Here is a 9,576-nt window from a genome sequence, read left to right as displayed (position 1 = left end):
TGGGTATTTCTCCCTCAGATCAACCAAGGGTTTCCTTTTTTTTTTTTTTTCAAGCTTCTAGTGGGTATGAGGCATTTTCACTTAGTAAACTTCCTTCCTTCAGCATAGAAGTGACTTTTGGTTCTTTAATAAGTAAAAAACAGGCTTGTTATTTTTTGGCCCATTCTAATTTAGGATATTGTCAGCACTGATTGAGCTCAATGGAGCTCAATCTGTATTTTTTGCATTATTGCATCTCAGTACTGAAAAGATTGGAAGAGAGAGACATGTAATATGACAGAGTGTGGACATTGGAATTAGAGAGATCTGTATTTGAACCCTGGCTCCATCATGTAGGAGCTCTGTGACCTTGGGAGACCTCTCAGAGGCTTAGGGTCCTTATCTACAAACCCTTGCAGCATTTTGAGAGGACTGAAGGAGCTGGTGCATATGAGGTGCCTGGCACTGTGCCTGGTGCACAGTGGAGGCTCAGCAAGCAGGACCCATCACCAATGACAGAGTCACGCTGTGCACAGGCATGGAGCACAGTGCTTCATGCAGAGTAGGTGCTCCCAAAATTTAGGTTTCTTAATGTTCTGTGAACACTGAATACTAGTAGAAACGGAGGTGGGTGGCTTCCTGCAGCCCCATAGGAAGAGGGTAGAGTTGCCTCCATCTGCCTGGATGGAACTGCAAATGGGCCTTGAACCAATGGCCTTGTAAGTCCTTTCTCATTTCAGCTTCCAGGATTCCCTATCACATAGTCTAGTTTCTAGACGGGTTTCCTTACATGGCTTTTCTCACAGAGTCTTAATTGAATATGAACTGGATGAGACACAAGCCTTTCCTCATTTAGGAGAAAGAGGCACATATGTGCCCCCTACTCTGGGGACAGGGCCCAGCTGTCACTCTAGCTCAATGTCCCATGGATAAGCACTGCTACAGGCAAGGTTGGTCACTTTGAAGCCAAACCATGAAGCTCTTACTTAACCAATCAGCATGTTTTGTGAGGAGTCCTGACTTAGCAAGAAGCCAGAGTAAAACATTTAATGAGGTATAGGACTCAGGTGAAGTGGCTAAATAACAAATGGAAAAATCAGCAAAGGAGGTAAAAAGGAGGAATACTTGACATGGTTGCCACACCCACTGCTAACAGAATATAAAGCCCTGGAAAGGACCAAGGCTTATCCCAGGGAAAAGGAATCAGGTTTTGAAACTGACTTCCAGAGCTCCACTGCCTCCCTGCACCATGCCCTACAACTTCTGCCTGCCCAGCCTGAGCTGCCGCACCAGCTGCTCCTCCCGGCCCTGTGTGCCCCCCAGCTGCCACGGCTACACCCTGCCCGGGGCCTGCAACATCCCTGCCAATGTGAGCAACTGCAACTGGTTCTGCGAGGGCTCCTTCAATGGCAGCGAGAAGGAGACTATGCAGTTCCTGAACGACCGCCTGGCCAGCTACCTGGAGAAGGTGCGTCAGCTGGAGCGGGACAACGCGGAGCTGGAGAACCTCATCCGGGAGCGGTCTCAGCAGCAGGAGCCCTTGCTGTGCCCCAGCTACCAGTCCTACTTCAAGACCATTGAGGAGCTCCAGCAGAAGGTGAGGAGGTGGGCACCACACTGCCAGCTTAATGAACTACTTATCTATATTTGACATACTAAACTGTGAATGGATCTAAGTCTGTTCACAGTAATGCTGAGAATGATAAAGACATAGATTCACTGGCTTAGGTATGACATCAAGTAGTCTTAGAAAATCTGTTGTAGAGCCACAAAGGAAGGATGCAGGCTGGTGTTAGAGTGAAGCATTAGACCAAAATCAGTCATAGCAATCTTATATGGCGTCTTACTCCAAACCAGAATATCTGATTTTTTGGTTTGATTATGATACCCTGGTTTTGTTTTCAGAGCATTACCGCATTTTCAAAAAGTATGCACCTGAATTATTTTCTATGCTAAGAATTTCCTAAGTAAATCTTCAAATATTTAAAGCCTTTCAAAGCTGTAGCAAAATATAGCATTTATGGCAACACAAGAGAGCTGTTGACTCCAGCAATATCTACAGACACATGGACCATCCTCTAGAGCAGCCATGTGTACAGATGACAATATGGGGCCATCTGTTCTGGAAGAGAAGTAGATATAAGTAAAGAGTCCACAGAGAATTGGGACTGAATACCTGGTGTAGGTTTGGGAGGGATCCCAGAAGAGGCAATGTCTGAGTGGGGTTTGAAGGATGAGTGGGAGTTTATATCCAATTGTACAAGCCCTTGATTCTGGGAGGGAATTGACTGCCCACTGTTCTGTAGATCTGGAAAATTAGATGCCAGAAAGGGGTTGTGCTATTTGAATATCATTCATTTATTTACCCAGAGTTGGAGAGTGTTAGGCACAGTGCTGGGGTGGGGGATAATGTACTGAGTAAGACAGTCTCCTTCCTTCAGGAGCTCACAGTCTAACAGGGGAGATAGATGTGGAAACAAAATGATCACACAAAGGTCATAAGAAGTGTTATTGATTAAGTATGTGGGTTACACAAGGGGTCTTGCTAGTGGGTGAGGGCATTCTGGGTACAGCAAGAAGCTTTTTGCAAAGGCATGAACAAGGGCAATATGAGGGGAGAGTGGAGAGAAGTTAGCAGGTGGAATGTGTTGGATAACCAAGTTGTTCTGGCTTGCCTGGGATTTTTCCCATTTTAGCATCCCAGAAACCCCTCAGTCCTAAGTTAACTGGGATGGTTGGTCACCCAACCGAAGGGTTGGATACCCAGTAACCTAATTATTGCAGGAAGCCAGAAGCAGATAAGAATAGAATTCATGATGAATTCACATTGGTTGTCCTGGTTTTGAAATGATCAGTTTTATGATCAAATCCTCCTTTTATCTCAGAGCTGAAAATCTGAAAGGACTCAAAGCTATTTGGGAGGAATGTGGCTGAAAGAAAATAGCATTTCACTTTAAGGCACAAGGCATTTCTTAGTATAACCCATTTCATGATTAATCCTATCCCCAGATCCTGTGCAGCAAGTCTGAGAATGCCAGGCTGGTGGTGCAGATCGACAATGCCAAGCTGGCTGCAGATGACTTCAGAACCAAGTAAGATTTTCCTAACCATCAGAGCAGTCTAGTAACGGACAGGCTGAATTACAAAGTGATGAGCTCCCTATCCTGGAATGTGGAAGCAGAAATTTCTATTGGGAGGATTCTTGCATTGGGTTAGGATTAGGTTAAATGTCAAAGCCTCTTCAATAGGTGCTCAGATTCTGTGTTTTAAGTTTTTTTTTTTAATTTTTTTATTTTGAGATGGAGTCTCCCTCTCTCATCCAGGCTGGAGTGCAGTGATGCAATCTTGGCTCACTGCAACCTCCGCCTCCCGGATTCAAGTGATTTTCCTGCCTCAGCCTTCCTCGTAGCTGGGATTACAGGCATGCGCCAGCAGGCCCAGCTAATTTTTATATTTTTAGTGGAGACCGGGTTTTACCATGTTGGTCAGGCTGGTCTTGAACTCCTGACCTCAAGTGATCCACCCGCCTCAGCCTCCCAAACTGCTGGGATTACAGGCGTGAGCCACTGTGCGCAGCCCTGTGCTTTAAGTTTGATTGTAAGACACCATCCATTCTTACTCCTTTTCAACCCAACGTCTGGAGTAAGTTTGAAAGTGATTTTCACATTGGTCTCTTTGTATACGTTAGTCACTGTCAACCCCCCAAAAAGAAGTTATTAAACCACAAAAACAGGAGGCAAAATCCATTGCCTTTCAGAGAATCAATCAATACTTTTAGGTATGACCATTATTACAATCATGAGAATCCTTTGCATTTTCCTGGGATCTTACATTTTACAACATAATTTTACATATATCATCTTCAGTCCAACCCTATAAGGTGTTAGTTTTGTCTTCATTTTACAGTTAAGGAAATCAAGCCTCAGAGAGATAAAGGTATCTATCTACAGTCATTTAATGAGAATACTGGCTCTAACTCTGAATTCAGTGTTTCTTCCACAACACTAGATTGCTTCTTGGCAAGGCTGGAAAGGATGACAGGACAACCTGGAGCAGGCTTATGAAGGGCACTGATTCACTTGAGATGGCAAAAGCAGCAGGGCTTAGTTGATAGTAACTTGTAAACGAGAGTCTTAGAACAAACTTAGTTTGTGTTAGACTAAACTATCCACAGGCATTCCACCAATACCTTTTCTGTGTGTCTCAGTGACAAAATAGGCCTTCTCACTCAGTACAGGAGTATTTTCTCCCTTAATTTTTTAAATTCAAAATATTTCAAAATATAATAAAATTGACTAAGTCAGCCAAGTAAAGGCCGGGAAACAAAGACTTTTTTTTTTTGGACCTCTTTTGACCTCTGGCTGTGTGTGCAGGTACCAGACGGAGCAGTCCCTGCGGCAGCTGGTGGAGTCCGACATCAACAGCCTGCGCAGGATTCTGGATGAGCTGACCCTGTGCAGGTCTGACCTGGAGGCCCAGATGGAGTCCCTGAAGGAGGAGCTGCTGTCCCTCAAGCAGAACCATGAGCAGGTAAGAGTCCCAGCCCCCAATATCCCAATACTGAGAGCTCTGTGATCCCCCTGAATAGGATAAGGTAGGATTTGATTTGCTAAGCACCCTAGGCCTAACAACATTTTGCTGGTTGCTCAAAACATACTTTGGGGCTTGTTGGGGAATGAGTGACAGCTTACCTTTTTTACATAAAGGAGTGTGGTAAGCTGACCTACTTCCCCTTGGGACCAGACATGTATGGCTGAAAGGTCACACAAATATCTTTAAACTACTGTCTACTGTTTGATGCTATCTATTAGCTTCTGAAGAGGTGCCAGGTAGGTTAATGACCAAGACTGGAAGGAGATAGAAAACATTCTTACACTCTGTTTCACCTAGATAACTAGAACTCAAGCTAGATAAATGGATAGATGGATGAATGGATGGATGGATGAACTGATGGATGGGAAAAACGGGAGAAATGAAATAACTCAAATAATGGTTGATTCAGATCTCATGGCTGAATGCAATACTACGAAATCAGATGCATGTCTCAAACATTAGACGTTTTCATGATGAAAACATGTGTCATACTCTAGTAGTATCCCATGAAATAAATAGGAGGAATGAAACCTGGTTTCTCTATATTTAAGTAGCAACAATTGTAAGCCAATTATCATGCCAGGCTTATCACTGAGCAAAGGGGAAATAAGAAAGAAATGATAGAATCTTGGACTGGGTAGAAATATTAGCAATCATTTAATGAAGCAGCCGTATCATACAGATGAGGGAAGGGATTCAGAGAAGAGGCCAGAATTTCCAGAGGTGACAGCTGGGCTTCAACTCATGTTTCCTAAGCTGCAATGCAATCCTCTTCCCATTATATTGAACTGCCTCAAAGAAGTTATTGAAAGACTTCTTTCTGTGGGTTTATTTCTTCCCTTTTCTCCATTAGGAAGTCAACACCTTGCGCTGCCAGCTTGGAGACCGCCTCAACGTGGAGGTGGACGCTGCTCCCGCTGTGGACCTGAACCAGGTCCTGAACGAGACCAGGAATCAGTATGAGGCCCTGGTGGAAACCAACCGCAGGGAAGTGGAGCAATGGTTCGCCACGCAGGTGGGCATCTAAGCACGTGGCCACTCAGGACCCGAGGCCCCCCAGGGCCCCGGAGGCAGGGTCTGATCCTTTCTCCCCTTGGGTGTTTCAGACCGAGGAGCTGAACAAGCAGGTGGTATCCAGCTCGGAGCAGCTGCAGTCCTACCAGGCGGAGATCATCGAGCTGAGACGCACAGTCAATGCCCTGGAGATCGAGCTGCAGGCCCAGCACAACCTGGTGTGTATTGTTCAGACCTGCTGGTGAGCGATGGGAACTTGGGAGGCAGAGTCTTGGGGATGCCCTTGGGGCCACACACTCTTCTTAGCTCTTGGAGCTTGTGAGTTTTTTCGAACCCCATGGAGGAACCCTATAAGGAGCAGCTCTCTGACATTCCTGATCTTTCCCACCACAGCGATACTCTCTGGAAAACACGCTGACAGAGAGCGAGGCCCGCTACAGCTCCCAGCTGTCCCAGGTGCAGAGCCTGATCACCAACGTGGAGTCCCAGCTGGCGGAGATCCGCAGTGACCTGGAGCGGCAGAACCAGGAGTATCAGGTGCTGCTGGACGTGCGGGCGCGGCTGGAGTGTGAGATCAACACATACCGGAGCCTGCTGGAGAGCGAGGACTGCAAGTGAGTACCTGGCGGACGGCACCCCTGCAAGGGACAGGCACTGTTCTACTGTAGGATAAAACAGAGACTTTGAAAATCAAGTTTCAGATGCCAATCTGTCTGTAGAGGCGAGAGTTTTATATTACAGCCGTGGGAAGTGTAGGATATTTGTTGCTAACATTATCTGGGCTAAAGATACTTTCTTTTACAAAAGATAGTCATGGGACTTGACTCCTTCCTCCAGTAGAGATTTTTTGGATGTTGATGGCCAAATAAATCTTTCTGTCTTCAGGACTGTCTTGTCACCACAAAAAGGAAAATGAAACTGTAACAATGATCACTTTTTCTGATTTAAACAGAACTTTCAAATCCACCGTTTCATTAATTCTTGTTAGAATCATCTGAGGCAGGCAGAGTGGGAATCATTATCACCTTCTTATAGATGAGCATTTGAGTGTCAATAGGGTTGATGATCAATAACTAACAGTACAGCAGTTGCCAGCGAACATAATATTTTTATGAACACAGTCTTGTGGAATTTTCATAATCCTGTGTGGTTGGTACTACCAGTCCTACCTTACAGGTGGGAAAGCTGAGGCTTAGAAGGAGGAAGTGACTTTCTTGTGTGTCTAGGGTCATACAAGGAAGGCTGGGATTCCACCTTACATGTTCTTTGCTCATTTCTGCCACTGTATCAGAACTCTGTAGAAGGAGTGATCCAAACAAGGCATGGCTTCCTAGGACATCAGAGAACGGGTTCTGCTTGTTTCTGTGTCTCTTTGGATTGAGTCTCCCTTGTTTGAATCACCCTTCTCATGCTGACAGTCTAATGCTTCTGCATCCCAGGCTGCCCTCCAACCCCTGCGCCACCACCAATGCATGTGAAAAGCCCATTGGATCCTGTGTCACCAATCCTTGTGGTCCTCGTTCCCGCTGTGGGCCTTGCAACACCTTTGGGTACTAGATACCCTGGGGCCAGCAGAAGTATAGCATGAAGACAGAACTACCATCGGTGGGCCAGTTCTGCCTCTCTGACAACCATCAGCCACCGGACCCCACCCCGAGGCATCACCACAAATCATGGTCTGGAAGGAGAACAAATGCCCAGCGTTTGGGTCTGACTCTGAGCCTAGGGCTACTTGATCCTCCTCACCCCAGGTCCCTCTCCTGTAGTCAGTCTGAGTTCTGATGGTCAGAGGTTGGAGCTGTGACAGTGGCATACGAGGTGTTTTGTTCTCTCTGCTGCTTCTACCTTTATTGCAGTTCCCCAAATCGCCTAATAAACTTTCCTCTTGCAAAGCAGACATGATTCTCATTTGTATTCATTCTTTTCAAAGTGTTGACTCTCTGTGTGCTTCTTATAAAGCCACTTGAAAGCAGAAGGAGGACTTTATAGGTTAATCATCTCCTAAAAGGTCTTCATCACCTTCATTAACATTCATTAAGCACAGTGAGTCCCAGCATCCACTTAGGCCAGCATAAAACAAGTAGGATCACTAGGACAAGAGGCCTCGTCTGAATATGATAAACATATTTCTCATGGGACCTTACTCAGTAAAATGCAACGGTGAGCATCTCTAGACAGTTCCACTCATTCTTTTAAGTCCCTAGCAGGGATGACAGAAGTTAATATTTATTGAACACCTACCAAATGCCAGGAATTGTGCTACTAATTTTTTCTCTTCCTCACAGTGAGGAAGAATCAATGGCAGGACTGAACCCAGAGTTCACTCTCTGCTTGTCAGTTACACATGAGGTGTGATTATGAGAGGACAAAATTGATTTCAAACAAGCACCCAGAGCTTATACATCCTCCTGGGGAGACACAATGCTGTTAGTGCTCAAAACATCTCTGAAACTCTCCTTTGTGAAATACTGAATAACTCAATACTAAAAAGCACCACCTTGCCATCTTCCATATTTGAGCAATACCCAACCTATTTTGAAAGTGTTTCTTTTCTCACTTGAATTGTTTAACCATGGGAACTACATATGAATTTCGGGACCCTCCCCCTCAAAGTTATTTAGAATCAAATTAGGATATTACAAGTCAGGTGTTTGCAAATGCTAACAGTGACCACGGTACTGGTGCCTGGCCCCTACTGGTGCCTGCTGATGTCTAACCAAGGTTAATGGCTCCCATCACTGTGCATGCTGTGGTTTGTGCCAAGGCCACTCCCTCAGTCTGCAGATTATTCCCAGATTAACCAATCTGCTAATTATGTCTTCTCTCCTTGAGATGAAGCTGATACTATCTCCCCTGCTGTGATGATGCCGGTTCCATCATCACATGTCAGTCTTAAATTCTTAAATTTTTTTTTTTTTTTTTTTTGGAGACAGAGTCTCACTCTGTCACCCCAGCTGGAGTGCAGCGGCATGATCACGGCTCACTGCAGCCTTGAACTTCCCAGGCTCAGGCTATCCTCCCACTTTAGCCTCTTGAGTACATGGGACTACAGGCATGCACCACCATGCATGGCCAATTTTTGTATTATTTGTAGAGAGGGGTTTCGCTGGGTTATCCATGCTGGTCTTGAACTCCTGGGCTGAAGTGATCTGCCTACTTCAGCCTCCCAAATTGCTGGGATTACAAGTGTGAGCCACTGCACCTGGCCAGTCTTAAATTCTTGTGCTCTCATATTCTAGTTCACTTAATATCTACTCCTTTGTTGTTGATGCTGCTGCAGCTTAGACAGGAGACCTTGGAAGACCGTCTGAGTGATACTCCATCCTCTGCTCAGAATGTCTTAGACCCAGTTTGTGGACTCTATTCTCTCTTTCCTCAGGGAGAGTTCATTCCCTGGAGCTACCTGCATGCCTCATGAAAACCGCCCTTGTTCAATTTATCCCGGCAGTTCTCCACACATGCTGGGATTACTGTCCACTGATAGTTACCTCTCAGCTACCTTCACCAGGAACAGTGCCTCCCAAATACCCAGTTGCATGCTTTGTGAGTGAGAGGTCAAAGTTCTCAACACAGTAAATACACTTTGTTTTTAGTGTTCAATTTATAAAATATTAAGCAAAACTTGTTTCTATGTTTGATGTTGTGTCAGCGGAAAACATGGGTCTAGGGAAAACAGTCCTTAGTTCTTATCTCTGCCATGGTGCTCTCCTTGGAGGATAAAAGAAAGGAGTGTCAGGGAGATCACTTTTTCTCAGGACAAAGCCAAATTGCTCTTCTGAAGTATCTGGGAAGGGTCAGTGTTACCACTGAGAAATAAAACTAAAATCCTAAGTCCCCCAGCTGACTGAACGGACTCTGTCTTGGCCAAGGGGACCGAAGAGAAACCTTAAAAACAGAGTCACATGTATGTTTATTGCAGCAATGTTCACAATAGCAAAGGCCTGGAATCAACCCAAATGCCCAATAATGATAGACTGGATAAAGAAAATG

The 9,576-nt window shown here is 45.2% G+C and overlaps 1 protein-coding gene across 1 annotated transcript, besides 1 other annotated feature; it reads left to right on the top strand.

Moving 5' to 3' along the window:
- On the top strand, positions 1,166-7,481 carry KRT33B (keratin 33B). Its single transcript, NM_002279.5, has 7 exons — positions 1,166-1,576; positions 2,989-3,071; positions 4,353-4,509; positions 5,426-5,587; positions 5,679-5,804; positions 5,980-6,200; positions 7,026-7,481. The coding sequence occupies exons 1-7, from the start codon at positions 1,229-1,231 to the stop codon at positions 7,141-7,143; spliced, it is 1,215 nt and encodes a 404-aa protein (NP_002270.1). The 5' UTR covers positions 1,166-1,228; the 3' UTR covers positions 7,144-7,481.
- Positions 5,871-6,372: an enhancer, noted in NCBI's record as "H3K4me1 hESC enhancer chr17:39520859-39521360 (GRCh37/hg19 assembly coordinates)". NCBI's record gives its function as "activates a minimal SCP1, AML or CMV promoter by ChIP-STARR-seq in naive H9 embryonic stem cells {active_cell/tissue: H9 hESC(naive)}" and the evidence as "EXISTENCE:reporter gene assay evidence [ECO:0000049][PMID:30033119]".

The sequence above is a fragment of the Homo sapiens genome, chromosome 17 (assembly GCF_000001405.40).
Source record: "Homo sapiens chromosome 17, GRCh38.p14 Primary Assembly".
NCBI classification, from domain to species: domain Eukaryota; kingdom Metazoa; phylum Chordata; class Mammalia; order Primates; family Hominidae; genus Homo; species Homo sapiens.
This window is presented reverse-complemented; position numbering and strand designations above follow the sequence as displayed.